Genomic DNA, 19,511 nt, shown 5'->3' on the forward strand with positions numbered 1-19,511 from the left:
CATAACACACATTAAAATTCAATAGGCAAATTTTATGCCTTTCTTAGTAATTTAAGACATATGTTTAATCAATTATTTCTTTTTCTCATTGCAAGGTGCCTACGGCAAGTGGATATTGAATTCTCTTTTGTTTTTCCCCCCTTGAGGTAGAGTCTCGCTCTGTGGCCCAGGCTGGAGTACAATGGCACAATCTTGGCTCACTGCAACCTCAGACTCCCAGGCTCATGCAGTCCTCCCACTTTGGCCTCCCAGTAGCTGGGATTACACGTGTGCACTATCATGCCCAGCTAATTTTTTGTATTTTTTATAGAGACAGGGATTTGCCATGTTGCCCAGGCTGGTCTCGAACTCCTGGCCTAAAGTGATCTACCCACCTCAGCTTCCCAAAGTGCTGGGATTGCAGGCATGAGCCACTGCACCTGGCCAGATACTGAATTCTTTTCTTTTTTTAGATGGAGTCTTGCTCTGTCACCCAGGCTGCAGTACAGTGGCACAATCTCAGCTCACTGCAACCTCTGCCTCCCAGGTTCAAGCGATTCTCCTTCCTCAGCCTCCCAACTAGCTGGGACTACAGGCACCTGCCACCACGCCTGGCTAATTTTTGTATTTTTAGTAGAGACAGGGTTTTAATATGTTGGCCAGGCTGGTCTCAAACTCCTGACCTTGTGATCTGCCTGCCTTGGCCTTCCAAAGTGCTGGGATTACAGGTGTGAGCCACCACGTCCAGCCCTGAATTCTTAATTCAATGCATATTTTTCCCTGATTCAAGACTAATTTGATGTAAATGTTTCTATATAGGATGATAAATTCTCCTATATAGGATGATAAATGTTTCTGATGCAAGTATATGGAGTCACTATATCAAACATAACTCAGAAATAACTATATCATTGACAGTATAATTAGTCATTTCCAGGACATAACAATCACATAATCAAATGGACCCTAAAGTCCTACTTGACATCTCATCCAACCCCTGAATTCACCCGTCCTCTTCTTGGGTATCTATCCATTCACTCGGCACATCTAGTGAGCACAAACTACCCTTGCTGATGACATGGAGGGGAAAAGCATGATTCCAGCCATCAAGGGCATTAAAATATAATATAGAAATAAACTATATTCAAGCCTCTTCCCTCTTCACTGGTGAATATCTGGAAAATAATTATATTACTTTGTACTGCTTCTGCCTAGTCAATCACTGACTCAGTAAGTATATTCAGAGCATTTCTCTGGGCTAGGAATACATAATACAGCAGCAAACAGAGCCCCATCTCTGGCCTTGGGGAACTTACAGTCTAGTAGCAAATACACATATTTTAGTACAAGCACATGTAATGGGAAGGCCAAACAGGGTGATCTAGTCTGGGCTAATGGAAGACGCCTTGATGAGGCACATTTAGAGTGAGATCTAAGCCAGGCGTGGTGGCCAATGTCTGACATTCCAGCTATTCAGGAGGCTGAGGCAGGACGAATGTGTGAGGCCAGGAAGTCAAAGCCAGCCTGAGCAACAAAGTAAGACCGTGTCTCAGTCACCTAAAGGATGAATAAGAGTTAAAGGAAAGCATCATTTAGGTGTATGAAAGTGGTTCTCAAACTGTGTTTAGGGGACCCTCTGAGGAGTCTTAACACTTTTTCAGGAGATACATAAGCTCAAAACCATTACTTAATCATGCAAAGATGTACATGCCCTTTTCACTCTCATCTTACAGTTATGTTTTCCAGAGGCTACAGGCCTGAAGGCAGAAGCAGCAATGAGAACCCAGCTGCCCTACATTAAACCAGACTGCCCAGAGATGGCCAAACATCTAACAAAATTCCACTCTTCTCACTAAATATTTAGTTCTAGAAACTATTTCTTTAAAAAATATTACTTATGTTAATACATAATAGGGATATTATTGTAATTTTTTTAAATGAATTAATACACATTTGTAATTTCTCAATTTCCATTTCTAAAAAGGTAAATATGCAGGGAATAAAAGCTCTTTGGTGTCCTCGAGTATATTTAAGAGTCCAGAGGGGTGAACTGTGGACTTCAGTTAAGTGATGTGTTGATATAGATTCATCAATGGTAACAAATGTCCCACAATAATGCAAGATGTTAAGAAGAGAAACTGCGGGAGAGGAGGAGAAGGCGTCCATGGAGACTCTACTTTCTGCGCCATCTTCCTGCTAAACCTAAAACTGCTCTAAAAAATAAGGTCTATTTAAGGGGGAAAAAAAGAGTCTAAAAGAATGTCAAGACCAAAAAGTTTGAGAACCACTGGCCTACAGAAAGGCAGAAGCAAAGCCAGCGGGCGAGGCAGGGGTGGTGGGCAGAGAAGCCAGTGAGCCAAATGCTGGGAAACCAAGACTCGGGGTGCCAGTAATTAGGACCAGAATGTGGCTCTAAACACAGTTTTTAAAAAGATATTGCTTCACAGCATTCCTGCCAGAAACAGGACTCCTCCTCTCTCCGAAACTGATGATAGCTAAGAGGGACAAGGAAAACCTAAGAGTCTCAGAGGCAGTCAGGCTCCAAGCATGGGCCAGGGTGCTCCTTAGTAGCCAAATTTAGACATGAAGATTTTTCAAGTTTGCTCTTATTTTATTCCTAAAGGAATTAAGGTGTAGTTGTTATTTTAATATCTATTAGGTAACAAAAACTGCCCTCAAAGAGTTGCTGAGAACAGTGACATTAAGCAGGCCCCATGCCCACTTTCTTGTGTGTCAAGTAGAACACTAAAACTGTGAGCCACAGGAATATTCTGATTCTCAAGTTCAAGTCTTTTGGGGATGATTAATGCAAAGCCCAGGGTAGGATATGGGCCTTTAGATGTTCTGGCTCTGCTCTAAGTTAAGATTTTCTAAAACTGAGCAGGAACCCCCAGAGAGTCCAGAATAGAAGGAAAGTTATGTATCTATTCAAAGGATAAGAATTTGCAGCTGCCGCTTTGTATTGCAACACAGTGAGGGGCAGGCTAGGTTCACCTGTCCTTCCATTGTTTCAGCTGATACTTATTAAACACCTACTGTGTGCCACATCTGATGTCAAGGAGCTGGTGACCAAGTTGTAGGAAGAGATTTAAAAAACAGGCCACATTTATACAGCTTGACACATGTAATAAGAGAGATAAAGAAAGGATGCTATGGGCCCCCAAAAAGAAGGACATGAGAGGCATGACCTCCTGGGGGAGTTATTGTCAAAATCAAGGCCTGGTGGGGGATTGATGTTTGGCCAGGTTAGTAAACAGTGGGGTATACAGCACTTAAGACTGGTGAAATGACACGGACAAAAGGGCAGAAACAACACAGGATCCCAAAGCAGCCCTGGGAAGGGGGATAACATTGGAGGCAGGAGAGTAATAGGGGTGGCAATGGTGATCCAGATGGTATCCTCAAACAGGCCAGCGGCAGTAGGGGTGGACAGTAGATGTGTTAAAACTGACAGAGCTCAGGCACTACTATAAATGGAGGTATAGGAGGAATAAGAGGAACACAGCACAGCCATCCAATTCTCTACAGTGGGAGAGTTGATGGGCTTCCAAGACTTCATCATGTTAAGATGCAAGGCACTCAGTGGTAGCCAGCAAACCTCAGAGATCATGATAGTGAAGGTTAAATGAAGAGAGTGCCCAATGTCTGTAAGTGCATGATGCAATTCATAAGAGCTGTTGTTACTGTTACCATAGCTATCCTTATAACTGAGCATCCATCAAATAAGGTGAAGGTGATGTGATTCTATGTAAAACATGACCAAAATCAGTTGCAAAACTGTTCTGTGGCAACCTGGATGAGATGGGAGGCTATTATTCTAAGTGAAGTGACTCAGGAATGGAAAACCAAACATCATACGTTCTCACTCATAAGTGGGAGCTAAGCTATGAGGATGCAAAGGTATAAGAATGACACAATGGACTTTGGGGACTCAAGGGGAAAGGATGGGAAGCGGATGAGGGATAAAAGACTACAAACTGGGTCCAGTGTATACTGCTTGCATGATGGGTGCACCAAAATCTCAGAAATCACCACTAAAAAACCTACTCATGTAACCAAATACCATCTGTTCCCCCAAAAACCTATGGGAATAAAATAAATATATAAAACCAGGTCTAGTCTGAGTTAAAAAAAAAAAAAAAAAACTGCTGTGGGCCAATCATTCGTTATGCAAATGAGGTTGAGGGTTATAGCCAGTAGAAATGATACGCTGAATCAAATGCTGACCAAGCAAACAAAAGTGGAGGCCTCAAGATATGTTCTGGAATCCTTATTTTTAAAAAGAGGTTTTGTTTGGCCTTCCCAAGCAAGATCCAGATGATACAGAGCTTACTTTTTCCACCTACTCCATAATGCAGGGGGAAGCATTTAAACTCAAAATGATGGTGCAATGAGAGATGGGGTCAGGAAGGCTGCAGCACAACAAACGAGGAAAACCCAAACTCCTGGTGGCCAAGGCTCTGGTTAAGGGCAGGCAGAGCAGAAAGGGGTTCCTGAGGGTGCTGAGGCTGGGACACATTCTGCAAATTAAAACCAAATGGCATAAATCCACTGGCAAACACCAAAACAAGATGGTCCCGTAATTGGCAAAATAATAGTTTGGGACCCCAAAGCAACCATCCTATAATTCTGGTCACTGTGCTGATGGAGGGCAGGAACAGAAATCTGGAGAACCTAAAAGGAGTTACATATGTGATGAGGAGGTTGGGAAAACGGGCTTTTTAAAAAGGGAACAAGTACCAGGGATTTATACGTACAGTGGTGAGAAAGGGATCTTTAATGATGCTTCTCAAGTAGAAATGCATCTCCCTCTAAGAAAAAATCTACCATTACAATCAAATTAACAAGCTAGATGAACTGTAGAATGAGTTCACAAAGTTTACAAAATACCTAACAATATAGTTACTCTAAATAGTGATTTGATTTGTTTAACAAATACTGGTTCACACACATTTTAGAAACATATGCAATGTAATTAGTGACTATGGGAATCAAAACTCTGAGAAGTCAAATTTTGCTGTGTAAATCAGAAGTTCTCCAAAGCAGTCAACGAATAGCCTACATTTCCCTCACCTGAGGTAAAATGCTTACTTTGGAGTCCAATCCCAAATCTATAACATTAGAATCTCGGGTTTCATGAATGTGTATTTTTTACAAGTTCCCCGCAAGGTATTTTACATACGCTGAAAGTTGAAAGCCACCAAGGGAGAGCAAGTAGACCTTGTAGGAAGGGCTCTTACATATTAACTCTTCTCAATCAACATACGAAACATAGTACTACTTGAAATTTTTGCAGGAAAAGAAAGAATATTACAGTGCTAGGTGTCATGAGACATTAAAGTAAGTTACCAAAGTGGCTTGAAACCTTTCTTTATATAAGATGCACCAGGCAAGTGATTCAACTTCTCTGAACCTGTTTCCTCATCTTTAAAATGGGGATTAAAAACAGTTTCAGAAATTTGTGATGAGGGTTGACCCAGCTAATGTGTTTATTGTGTGCACACGTGCCTGGCACTGGGAAACAGCTTGGTGAGTATAAGCTATAATTATTTGGGGGAAACATCTGATTAAAACCCTAAAACTAGTCCTGCATTCAAAAGATGAGAAAGGTATCGATCCCATTTCTGCCCTTACTCTAGCTCAGAGACCTGAAATAAATGTAAAGATCCTTCAGCTGGAGGCTTCTCATGAAGAAAGAAATTGTCCTGCCCCCTGCTGGGCAATGGTGCACTGACAGAAAGAGCCTGAGAAATGTTCCCGGCATCACAGCCAGGCTGGAGCATTCCCATTGTGTGGCAGGGTCAGCTTCAAAGAGCACACAGTGTCTCTCCCTTTGTCTACTTTTGATGTCTCTTTTCAATCTAACATTATGATGTTGCATTGACCTTCGGAGAAAAGGGCACTGTTCTACACGGTTCTGATAAGCCGCTTTCTAAAAAACACTTCCTGGATGCTAGCAGTATGGACTTCTTACCAAGAGGACAAGACAATAATCTTGTCATTTAATAGAGGCCTTAGGAAAGAGAGAGATGACAAAGGCAGTTTCCAAATGTCACTGAAGAATGGTCTTTGCAAGTATCACTGAGTCAAATGTGGGCAGTGTGTATGTAAGGATGTATGTGTGCAGATTTACATATGCATGTGCATTCCATATATATGTGCTCTCTCTGAAGAAAATATATTAAAACTCTACATTCAATTTTATAGTTTAAAAGATATACAATATTTAGAGTCAAAAGACTTGATCTCCATCCAATTTTAAAAAATTTCCTTCTTTATTCTATTCTTTTACAAACAGAATTTCTTATGGAAGAACTTTTTAAAAAGCTACTTATCCTTAAAGATATCGTCTGATTTTTTCGTTTGTTTGTTTTTTGGAAACGGGGTCTTGCTATGGCACCCACGCTGGAGTGCAGTGGCACAATCTCAGCTCACTGCAGCCTTGACTTCCCAGGCTCAAGCCATCATCCCGCCTCAGCCCCTCCAAGTAGCTGGGACTACAGGCGCAACTCACAAGGCCTGGCTAAATTTTTTTTTGTATTTTTTGTACAAACAGGGTTTCACCATGTTGTCCAGGCTGGTTGCAAACTCCTGCACTCAAGCAACGTGCCCTCCTTGGCCTCCCAAAGTGCTGGGATTACAAGAGTGACCCACTGCAAAGATACTTAGAAGTAGCTTTAAGATCAGATTCAAAACTCAGCCTCTGTTGTTTACTTTAATATGGTGTTAGGTAAGTAACTTAGCCTCTCTAAGGTTTAATTTTCTTCTATAAGATGAGGAAATGCCTACTTAGGTTTGGTGTGAGGAATAAATAAAATAATGCATGGGAAAGTGCTTTATAATTGGTAACCAATCAAATCAATGTAATTTAATGTCAAAATTAATGACATAATTAATCCAAAATGGTTGTTCTCCACAAAACGTTAAAAATAATCTTGTAAAATTACATCTATAATCTCAGAGGTATAATTTCTAAGCATACAGAAGCAAGCTACTAAGGTTATGGTGTCATGCAGGCATGTATTTTTGGTTGAGGACAAGGCCTTGATGTGTGTTCACAAAGACTCTCTACTTGATCAAACTTTAGTCTGGTTCCTATGAGCCCTCTTTTTGGACTAGGCCTCAACCTTAACCCCTGTCCTGTCTTTGGCTGGCCAGCCCAGTCTTAGCAAAGAATCCTACTCAGTCATATCCCACCCCGACTTCAATCCTTGACATCTTATCATCTTGGCCTGCTTTCAGCAAGAATCCTGTTAGGTCAGTGCAGCCAAAATCTTTCTACCTCTGATATCTCCTCTTAGTCATTTTCCACCCACTGACCTCCCCTCACACCCTCCCTTGCTCATTAGCTATAAATCCCACTTGTCCTGGCTGTATTCAAAGTTGAGCCTGATCTCCCTCCTCTACTGTAATACCCCTATTACAGCAGTCCTCAGTAAAGTCTTCCTGACCATTTTGACAAGTGTCAGAATGATTTTTTTCCTCAACAATGTCTAAAAGAGAAATAGGGAAAGAAGGAGGAACTTACGTCATAGTGCAACACCAAAGATGGCAGAGACCGAGATGAGAAAATCTGGGAAGATCTGTATATCCTGAACTGAAACTGAGTGCCCGAGAACCACAGGGATGCATTGCAAATACACACACTCAGCTCACTTTGTGAGACCTAAACTGTCCAGGCTCGTCAGAATTTGTGGTATTATAGACACTCTGCCATCATCAACCCAATGAGAAAGCTGAGAAAAACACCAATACGAAGCACTCTCCTGCATATTATCTCACTGAATCTTCACCAAAAACACCTATGAACTGAGTATGGTTATTATCTCCATTTTATTGGTAAAGAAACTAAGAGTTAAAAAAGCAATCTGTCACGCCTGTAATCCCAGCATTTTGGGAGGCCGAGGCGGGAGGATCACCTGAGGTTCAGGAGTTCGAGACCAGCCTGACCAACACAGTGAAACCCCATCTCTACTAAAAATACAAAATCAGCCAGTCGTGGTGGCACATGCCTGTAATCCCAGCTACTCGGGAGGCTGAGGCAGCAGAATCACTTGAGCTCGGGAGGCAGAGGTTCCAGTGAGCCAAGATCGCACCACCACAAACTCCATCTCAAAAAAAAAAAAAAAAAAGTAATCTGTACCCATGTTATGTAGCTGGCAAGTGAAAGAGTCTAGACTCAACCCCAGGCAAGTTGATTCCAAAGCCCATTCTTTTAATCACCACACAAAACTGCCTCCCAGGAAGTAATATCCAGGAGAAAGAAAAGTAAAGTTGAAATTCTAGGAAAAGCAGAAGGGCCCAGAAGGAGCGAACCACCTAACTTTCGGATCATAGGCATGGGAAAGGACCACACAGCTGCAGGTATAGACTGTAGAGAATGTCTGACTGAACACAGTGTGTAAAGAATGAATAACTTATTGTGCCCTCTGCATTAGTTATAATTATACAAAATCTTTCTCATTGATCTTAGGGATTCCCAAAGAACTTTCTTCAATTCCCCATCCTCATTTTCTGTTTGCTTGAAATCTATCACATGATAGATATTGCTAAAATATAGTGACTTTTTACCAATGATTTTAAAGGATAAAAGCAAAATCCACAATTCCTTCTTATCACTGAGAGACAGAATTTTGATTACCGCAACAAAGAATCAAGCAAATATGCCACGATCTGATGTAAAAACAATGGCACATTTACGATTAATTTCCATCCTCATTCAAGTGATGTAGGAAAAAAATAATGAGCTAATTACTGAAGAAAGGAAAAAATAACTATCTAAAACATCTATCAAGGACTTATAGGGCACAGGAAAATTCATTCCTGTGCTCATTTTATGCTCACTCACTTGTTTTGGTCCCCAGATTTCTGTGTGTAATATCACTTTTCAAGATCAAGAAAGTTATTCCATAAGCCTTTGAAACAAGTATCTTATTAGATGTATTTCATGATTCACTTTCTGATGTTGAGCCTGCCTTTTTATCACTGCCACTTTCAAAGGCAATGTCTTAAGGAAAATAGTTTCGTGTACACTGGGTTTTCCCCTTAAAGGCAGTGCTAGTTTTAGGCAGCTAAAAGAACCAAAGCTTTGGAGAAGGCCCACTGGGTTTTCAAATAGTTTATTCTCACTATTTCAAACCAAATATGCCAAGTTACAAATGAACATATGGCAACATCTTAGCCAACCAGTTTGGATTACTGTCCAAATCGGAGACTAAATCTTGGAGATTAAACTTAATTTGGAGTAAGTATCAGCTAGTTTTCTATGTTTAAAAGGAAGTTATCTTTCATACAAAGAGAGGTGAGGAAGGGGCTGGCCAATTAAATAACTGTTACACCACAAATAGTATATTTATTTATTTATTATTTTTTAAATTTTTTTTTTTTTGAGATGGAATCTCACTCTGTCACCAAGGCTGGAGTGCAGTGGTGTGATCTTGGCTCACTGCAACCTCCATGTCCTGGGTTCCAGCAATTCTCCTATCTCCCTAGTAGCTGGGATTACAGGCGCGTGCCACGAGGCCCAGCTAATTTTTGTACTTTTAGTAGAGATAGGGTTTTACCATGTTGGCCAGGCTGGTCTCAAACTGCTGACCTCAGGTGATCTGCCCGCCCCAGCCTCCCAAAGTGCTGGGATTACAGGTGTGAGCCACCGCGCTCGGCCACAAATAGTACATTTGCATTATATCAGCTAATGTTTACAATTCACCCAAGGAGGTAGTTATTTCTGACAATCAAAGAGAAAAAGCTTAGAAAGCTTAAGTCATTCAGACATGTTCAGGGTCATATCTGATATGATCCAACCCATACTCTTTGCTCTATACCTTTGGTCTCTGATATCAGAATATTCACTCAAGCATGTGAAAGTGTATCTGAATTAAAAATCACTATTTTGTATAGAGTACTTCGGGGGCAAGGGAACAGTGGGGGTGGTAATTAGAATTCATTTCTTCTAGACAGTCTGTGATAGGATTCAGCATCAAGTGGTAGGAATTTACACATAGGCATATAAAATGAATAAGTCTTCTAAGAAAATGTAAATGAGACCCAAGGTTACAACTATATATGTTTATGGCCTTCAGGAAGGTTAGCATAATGCTGTAGTATTTTCTCATGTGAATAATGAAACTAACTTACCCACAATTGAGTAAGCCTAAAAAAAATTCAGGCAACAGCTATTCTGCAAAGTTACCATTATTATTAAAATAAAATCTTATTAACCTCATGCCAACTCATTTCAGATAGTTCTAATTTAAGAAAACTGTTACCCTGCAGGCAACCTTATGCATTATCATGCTGCAATATAAACACTGAATAATCTAAACCTAGATAAATCAAAATCTGTCATTTCTGATCACTTACATTTCAAATTCATAGTCTTAACCATTTCTTACTTCTAGATAAGCTCTCCCCTTAAGTCTTTAAAATAATTTCAACTTTCACAATGAAAGATTCCAAAGATTTTCTATAACTGGGAACAACTACACAATGTTCGTGAAGTTAAAAATTATCGTGTCGGGGCTTATAGACTTCTCTCTTTTCCAACTTAGTTCGCTCTGTAATTGATCCCCTCTTACAGAGAAGAAAAGGGACAATTTGATGTAGTTTTCCACTTAGTGGATCCCTGAGAAAAAAATAAAGAGTTAGAGACTAAACTCTTCTAAAGATGGCCAGTGGGGAAAAAAATTGTGTGCATTTTTACACAGCATAAATAAGTTAAATGGTGGTGCATGTCGGTGTGGATGAGAACAATGTTCTCACAAGTGATGGGGATCTAAAGAAAAGAGAAGCTGCAAGATTTCGGTAAAAGTTGCATGTACTAGTAAATTTAGAACACTTTAAATAGCTCATAAAAACATGAGCAAAGGTCATACTTCTCATGGGGACCCTGCTTATTTAAATAAAACCCTGCCCTAAGACAGAACAGGAGCATGGCTTTATAAATGATATATGTTCATCCCAGCGTCTGGCTCCTGGTGTCAGCAGAGGTCTCTACTGTAACAAGTCTTTCATAAGCATCTCTGTACATCCTGAGATATGTCCTTTGCCAACTGTACACACTCTGAAGTGCATTATGGTGCCACAGTCTCTTCCTGTAAACTACCTTTATGAAAAATTACAGTCATATTTCCAGATGACATATTCGGAAGTCATCAGGAGACAGTCTTACCTTCAATACAGAGTGTTCAGAGAATAGAGTTAAAATGAAAGCTATACAGCCTCAACTAAAACAACAGAATACCCACATACACAAACACACCATCATACAAGGAAGACACTTTATTACCTATCCCTGATGAAAAACAGAATTCCTCTGGTAATGAACTTACATCTGAACCCATACACGGAATGCCAAATTTGAAAGTATTTTAGTTAAAGAAAATAACTCAAATACCATACTGAAATAATTCTTTTCAGACACTTAAGAAAACATACTGCAGAATCTCATAATCTATCACAGCTTTGGGTTGCTACCTCCTTGCCGGGAGGTTTATAAAATCACTCAAGAGCCCTTCTCAAATTATGTAGCTTTCCATTTGCTACTTTTTAACAGTAACTTGGAGAGAAAAATATATTTGATTGTCTATGTTAACTCTTTTAATTTTCACTGAGTTTGAGGGCACAAGAAGCACTGACTTATAACCATTCCAGAGGACCAAAACTGGAGGCCAGGGACCTTCTATAGAAAAGAGGTTTTCTGAAATTTTACAATAAACTCCATTGTAGCTATATAACCAGTGGTCACATTTTTCAAAAATGTACCATAAATTAAATTTCTGGCCGGGTATGGTGGCTCACGCCTGTAATCCCAACACATTGGGAGGCTGAGGCAAGTGGATCACCTGATGTTCAAGACCAGCCTGGCCAACATGGCGAAATCCCATCTCTACTAAAAATACAAAAATTAGCTGGGCACGGTGGTGCACACCTGTAATCCCAGCTACTTGGGAGGCTAAGGCAGGAGAATTGCTTGAACCCAGGAGGCAGAGGTTGCAGTGAGCCAAGATCACACCATTGCACTCCAGCCTGGGCAACAGAGCCAGACTTCATCTCAATAAATTATTAATTTCTATAAATAGAACCATACCCTCCTAATGACTTAAACCATCTTCTCAGAAGTGTTTCAGTTTATGCAGGAACTATTAACTGCTTCAACTTTTAGGTTTGTCAGCCACATGATTTAAAGAAAGAAATCCTAAAATAAATTATTTGAGAAATTAAGTACTCATTTCTGCTTTCTCTGGTTTATAAAGTTAAGACATTCATTGGTTTAGAAAGCAAGACAAACTTCAATTTTAACTAAATGTATCACCCAATTTCCCTTAAACAATAGAGACACATAATCTTCTCTAGAGAGATACTTTAGAGCATTTCTTCTCTTTCCAGAAACTTCCTTCAGGAAAAACTGGCTTGAGAGACCCATTTCTGTGATGTCACAGCATCTTACACACACAGAGCTCTAAGGCACCTCAAATCCTAGGGTCAAATTAACTGGGTTCTAACCAAAACAACAACAACACTCGCTGACTTCAAAGGTCTGTTGACTCGAGGAGATAAATCTCCCAGTCCTAGTTGGTTCTTTTCAGAGAGGTGCAGAAAAGACCCCCTAGAATGGAGCTGTTGAGCCAATCACCTTTCCACAGCAAGACATAAAGCGGAGCATCTGGGGAGAGAAATAAAGCTTACAAACAAAACTCGGGGAAAGGAGAAAGAGAAAGGTCATTCGTCCTTTTCAAAGATGCTTACTTACACTGTTGATTTTATTATATTCAAAACTACCCAAATATCAGACATCCAGTCTGACTGCTCTTTTCTTTTAATCACTTGGAGCTCATTTCTGAAAATAGCACTCTGGTCCTCAGTGAGCCAGATTTTGCAAACTGCCCATACATTCCCGTTATCACATTTTACCCAGTCTGCAGCATATTCATAATATGTTAAGTAAATTAATTTCCAATATATATTCCCAAAGCAGCGGTTCTCAACTGGGGGGGAATATCATGCCCCAGGAGACATCTGGCAACGTCTGGAGACATTATTGGTTGTCACAAATGGAGGATGCTACTGGCATCTAGTGGGTAGAGACCAGGGATACTGCTAAATACCCTACAATGCACAGGACAGCCCCTACAACAAGAAGTATTCGGCCTCAAATATGGCAAGGTTGAGAAACTGTGAGAAATCAATTAATAATATTTTTGTTGCCTTCATTCAATGAGGGCAGTGTTTCTCAAAAACGTAAACTTTCTGACTCCAAACTCTTTACTGACTCCAACAAACACCTCCAAGAATTCTGAAAAATAGGCAAATGTTTACTTAGTCCCCACATTTTAAAAATAAGATACTCAAGGAACATATATGCTGGTGAATGTTAGAATTCAAATGTTAAATCCATCTAATCCTTGCAAGCTTTCTCATATATGATCTCATACATATTTTCTTTACCACAGCCCCAGAAAGGAGAACTGTTAGGCCCAGTGCAAAAAAAAAAAAAAAAAAAAAAAAAAAAAATGGAAAGTGAAACTGAAGGAAGTCAAAAGCAACTTATCTAGTGTCTCCCGATGGGTTAGCAGGAGAGCAAGGAATCGGATCAAGTCCCTAATTTTAGTGTTGTTCTTCTCAATACATGATGCCCTCCTCTAGGACAGTTTTTAAAATATTGAACTGAGCTGCTAAAATTGTAACCATCTCATCCAATGCCATATATTCATGGATGTCATTTAACCCGCCTAAGTGCCAGTCTCCTTATCTATAAAATGGGGATGTGTTGTGAGGAATAGAGGAGATAATGTTCCTTACATCTGTGCTTAGCACAAAAGAAGCACTCAACTAGAAAAGGCAGCTGCTCTTGTTATTCTTATTACTGGGATCTCAGGACAATGTGTGTCATTATACCAGAACAGTATTTAAGCAAGCAACCAAAAGGTTGGGATAGAAAACCCAACATACAAAAAAAGCATCTACTGCAAAATACTATCTATCTCAGCCAGCAGCAGTGGGTGGGGGGTAGAAGAGGCTGATTTCAAGTTATATGGAGCACAAGACCGAACAAACAGAAGTCTTGAACATTTACTTGCATTTATTTCCTTTTCTGTTATTAAAGGCATAAAAGAAAGGTCTTCATTTCAACGTCATGGGGCAATGCTGGGACTAACAAGTTTGTGCTTGAATGTGAGATGTGTTCCAGTAAAACTGATAGAGTCTATACCTCCTTATTTAAAGAGGTAGTGAAGAGGTGAGAAAGATTCAAAAGGGGGCCCATTTTTATTTGAGTGATATAGCACTGAAATTAAGATTCGGGGCTCTAGAATTAGCCTGGATTCAAATTTTGGCTCTAGTGTGTAACTAGCCCTGACTATTAGAAAGCTACACAACCTTTCTAACCTTCACTTTCCTGAGCAAAAATTGGAGAGCACGAAAGTATTTCCTTCATGTAATAGAATTGTGTTGGAAGTCAAATGGTATAATGCAGGTCAAACTCTCAACATAGGGTCTGGAATACTGCACATGGAAAATAAATGCTAACCACTGTTACTATGATTGTTGTCATCATTGTCTTCAACTTCCTCCTCCTCCTCCTCCTCCTCCTCCTCCCCGTCCTCCTTTATAATGTCCAGCTCTATGTCTAGCTCACAGGAGGTTCACAATAAATGTCTGCTGATTAATAATTGTTTATGACACACTAGATACTGCTCTAAGAGGCAGTTACTACTATTATTCTCTTTTTAAAAGGAAGAAACTGGGGACCAGAAAGGATAAGAAACTTGCCCAAGGTCACACGGCAAGGAAGTAACAGAGCGGTAATTTTTTTTTTTTTTTTAAGAGATGGGGTCTTGTTCTGTCACCCAGGCTGGAGTGCAGTGGCACACTCATAGCTCACAGCATCCTAAAACTCCTAGGCTCAAGCGACAGGAACACAGGAATATAGAAGATAGGAATAGATAGCAACATAAGACAGGAATACAGGCACACACCACTACGCCCAACTAATTGTTTTATTTGTTGTAAAGACGGGGTCTCCCTATGTTGCCCAGTCTGGTCTCAAACTCCTAGCCTCAAGTGATCCTCTTCCTTTGGTCCTCAAAGAGGTAGGGTTACAGGCACGAGCCACTGGCCCAGCCTAGAGTTATAATTTGAGCCCAGATGGTCAGGCCGCAAAGCCTCTGTCCCTAGCTACCACACAACACTGCCTTATGATAGAAGAAGAGTGAAAAACAGGGTTTAAGGAAGTTCTCATCAACATAAAATCTCAACAGATGAGACCCATCTGAGAAGGAGGGAAAGAAACCACACTCCTGAGATGGCCAGTCAGAGGGAGGCTTCGTAGAAACACTTCTTTGAAACAAGGGGTAGAGGTAGGCAGGAAAGAGTCTTTGCATGCAATGAGCTTGTTTGCCATTTTAAACATATGTAGCGCCCATAGACGGATAGGTACCCTGAAGACAGAATCAGAGATCCCAAACACTGAAGTTACGCAGATATCTGAGGATGAAAGAAGGGGACCCTTCCACAGGATAGATGCAGCTGAACAACTTATGTGATCTGGAATCTTCAAGTCCTCTTGACTTTCACCAGGCACATTCAATTTCCAGAGCGCCCTGGGATGTACTAGGCAAAAGATGGTATGTTTTAGGGAAAACAGCTCTCAGACATCCCAACTTAACATCCATACACATTTGCCACCTGATTGTGAACTAAATTACAGGGTAATAATTATCAGATACGAGATTAAAATGGAAGATTCTTGTCCTGCCCAACTAAAGAGGACAAATGGAGTCAAATGAAGAATACTGTTAGACATTTTTATAAAGGATAAATTATATTTCCAATAGACCTAGTACCAGTCTTGTCAAGTAAGGACTCTTCAGAACTGCAGCAAAATGCTAAATTCCAACAACGTTAAGCCATTTCCTACAGTAATTACATGAGGTTTCATTTCTAACCTCTCCAAACGCTTTTATGTCTGTCTCTTTTCTAGTGGCAAACGCAGGGAGGTTAAGAGGAGCAAGCCATTTTGTTTCAAGCCAGCCACAAACCAAATGCACAATGCCACAAAAGAAGTCTTTATTCCATCAGCCAGCGGGTTCCTCATTAACCAGCCGAGAATGAACCTAGAATGCACAATTTCGTGTTAATCACAGAAAACAGATGCCCATGATGGCTGCAGGTAAAACTGATTGTTTTTGCCTCTCAGTACCACTCACTAGGGAATGTGATCTGTTTCATCTCCACCCTCCCTTCAAGGATTGCTGAGCTCCCAAGTGCTTGTGAAAACACGTCAGGTGTGGGGATGGTACTGTGAGAAATGAAAAATGGTCCTGACAAGATGAAAAGCTGCATTTTCCATCTTGTTCTTAAATGGGCTTAAATAGACACAAAATGGGGACTGCTTAACCCTTCCATATCCACACCTCAATAGAGCAGACTGGAGTAAGAGCCTAAAAAGTTTTCAGGAGGTCAGCAGGGTGGGGGTGGGAACTGCCTCATTTTTTCTTTATGGTAACTCACTATCCAGGGCTCACAATACCCCAGAATGGCTGCATTTCACTAGGTATAAGCCACTTCCAGCACCCAGCGCCTGCCAGGAGGGCAGTCTATGAACAATCACAGCTCAAGTGGTTCCTTTCCCCCTCCAACGAGAATCACAAATGCCTCCTGAAGTGGGTCCCACTAACAGTTCAGCTCCTTGAACACCCATTTCTTCCTTCTCAGATTTTGAAAGTCTAAATAGTTGGTTAGTGATGATAAAGGAGATACATGTAGCAGAGGCGACTTGCAAGGCATTAATTCATTCTCCGAACACCAGCCTCTCCTACGAATCTCATTACTGCACAGCAGGTGGACAAGTGAAGTACAAAGAATGGGAAGGCGGAAAAAAAAAACAGGAAGAAAAAACACACAGATCTCCAAAGGATGCCATCATTATTTTACATTATAATGATCCCAAGAAAAGGGTGAACTACTCATTGTTCATTTGTTCATTCACTGGAGAATCATAAGCAGGGCCCAGGGAAACAAAAATGCTATCAGTAACAATAATTACTTTGTTTCTATTTGTTTCTTTAGTTATATAACATGGGTGTGTTATTATAGGTTAGGCACTCTGCTAAGTCCTCTACATGATTTTCTCATTGAATTCTTACACCACCCACTGACATAGGTATTACTGTTTTTCCTGTTCTACAGATGAGGAAACTGAGGTCCTCAGAAATTGAGTATCTCAAAAGGTCACACAGCTAGTAAGTGGCTCAGATAGGACTGAAACTCTGGTCTGCACAGTAATTCATACAAGCGTCACTCTACCACTTCCAGAATGTGGTCTAAATGCAGGCACAACTTTATATACAAGGATATTCATTGCAACATAATCTGGAACCAATAATGGAAACAACACCTGTTTCCCAAAGTAGGGATGGTACATTTTTTGAACCATCACTACTACTTTGGGGAACAGCCATTCAAGGGGATATCTGCAGTGCAAGAGGCTCTCTGACCCCACTCTTTTCCTTCCTGAAAGCAGTGATAAAACCCCCATGTGCAAGTATCCTCCCTATACTAGTAGGAAAGTCACATTCGTATCATCAAGGATGGGAAGCTGAGACCAAGAGAGTTCTGTATAAACAGACCTTGTTAAAATAATTCTTACCTTCCTTCATTCTCCCTACATAATTCAGTTACTTTTCCAGAATTGCCTCTCTGTGTTCAACCAAATATAAAAGTATCTAGGTTTTGCCACTTCCTTAGATCTATATTTCCATATAAGGGTTCCCATGTCACAAAAGACTTATATTACATAAATTTGTAAGCTTTTCTCCTGTGACTCTCACAGTGCTTTAATTCTCAGGCCTGGCTGAAAAAAACTAGGAAGGTGAAGGTAAAAGTTTGCCTATCCTACAATAACAACATTTACATAGCACACATCACTTATCAAGCACTTTTTCTATAGTAACTCATTTAATCCTCAAAACAACCCCAGAAAACTGAGGCATAAAGAAAAAAAATAATGTTCCCAAGTCACAAAGCTGCTAAGCACAAGGGCTGGATTCCAACCCAGACTGTCTGAATGGGATATCTGTGCGCATAAGCATTTCCCTACACTAATGGTAACAAAATAGCACAGTCTTCTAGGTGGAAGCATAGGCATATTTCATATCGCACAAGTGCTTTTAAAAAAAAAAAAGAAATAAATAAAAGAAAATCCTGAGGCCAGGCACAGTGGCTCATATCTGTAATCCCAGCACTTTGGGAGGCTGAGGCGGGAGGATCACTTGAGCACAGGAGTTCAAGACCAGCCTGGGCAACATGGAGAAACCCCATCTCTACAAATAAATAAAAAAATTAGCCAGGTGTGGTCGCTGGCACCTTTAGTGCCAGCTACTGGGGAGGCTGAGGTGAGAGGATCACTTTACCCTCGGAGGTGGAGGTTGCAGTGAGCCAAGACCATACCTCTGCACTCCAGCATGGATGACAGAACAAGACCCTGTCTCAAAAGAAAAAAAGAAAAAAAAAAAAAAAACCTTGTTGTTCAAAAGAATTATAGTTTGGGTATTAACATGGTCTATGGTCTTCCGTTTCCTTTTATGATCAACATGAAATCCTTAAATACAGTAATAAAAATTTCTAGTTCCACACCCACCCACCCACCATAAAAAAGAATGTAGACGTGAAAATGGCATGATACTTAATGATCAAGAGATTCTCAGGTAAAAATGTAAAGCAAGCCAGCATGATATTACTTATGGTTGTGATTCATTCTCTATGCTTCTCCCACTCCTGTCCACTCCCCTCTCCCCCACTATTCAAAAAGGAAAGGAAAAGCTGGATGTCTAGCTCTGACATTGCAAGGGTTGCTGATATTCTATTTTACTATGTTTGCTATGTTTTCAAAAGAACCAACATTTTAGAAGAAAAGGAACATCAGTTTATTTAATTTGGTTCTTCACTTTTTACTCTAAATCAAAGTTCAATTTACCTTAAAGTTTTAAAAAAGGCTGACAGCTGAGGCCTTTTGGAAAGATCACCTCACTCTACAGAATGCTTAGGGGAAAAATTCATCAAAAGCAGACAGCAGACATCTACCATCCACCATAAATCAGCTTCCTTTTTCTTTTTCTTTTTTTTTCTTTAAGCATCTTCTTTAGAATACAGTGAGAAAGTCGTGTCATTTAACTTGGCTTTTTGAAAGGAATTTCAGAAATTATTTTAGTTTCTGGAATAAGCATAGGCGTAAACACACAGATTCAGTATATGCCTGAAGCTTGTTGATTTCTCCTAGATATTTAAAAACAGAACCGCTTGTTTTGTCCTTTTTCACTTGGCTCACAAAGTGACATGGCAACAGACTATGTACTAATTTTCTGGGGTTTCAGCACTGAACCAAGAAGATGGCAGAAAAATGGATACAATCATTAAAGAAATTATAGGAACTAAATTAAGTCAACCTAACAGTGAGGCTGATTTTCATAAAGGGCCTGTGTCCCCAAGGTAAGGAATGCATCCTTCCCATCATGGAAGTCAATGGATGGCACCTA

General features: G+C 40.3%; 1 protein-coding gene and 1 long non-coding RNA gene across 7 annotated transcripts in view, besides 1 other annotated feature; both read right to left on the reverse strand.

Moving 5' to 3' along the window:
* The window catches only part of MAGI1 (membrane associated guanylate kinase, WW and PDZ domain containing 1), a 685,393-nt gene that overhangs the window by 392,079 nt on the left and 273,803 nt on the right, over positions 1-19,511 (reverse strand). The window lies entirely within an intron of this gene.
* Positions 1-19,511, reverse strand: part of LOC107986018 (uncharacterized) — a 63,442-nt gene that overhangs the window by 26,434 nt on the left and 17,497 nt on the right. The gene's annotated exons all lie outside the window — the stretch shown is intronic.
* Positions 16,350-16,987: an enhancer, noted in NCBI's record as "OCT4-NANOG-H3K4me1 hESC enhancer chr3:65747629-65748266 (GRCh37/hg19 assembly coordinates)". NCBI's record gives its function as "activates a minimal SCP1, AML or CMV promoter by ChIP-STARR-seq in naive H9 embryonic stem cells {active_cell/tissue: H9 hESC(naive)}" and the evidence as "EXISTENCE:reporter gene assay evidence [ECO:0000049][PMID:30033119]".

The sequence above is a fragment of the Homo sapiens genome, chromosome 3, assembly GCF_000001405.40.
Source record: "Homo sapiens chromosome 3, GRCh38.p14 Primary Assembly".
In the NCBI taxonomy this organism is placed as follows: Eukaryota; Metazoa; Chordata; class Mammalia; order Primates; family Hominidae; genus Homo; species Homo sapiens.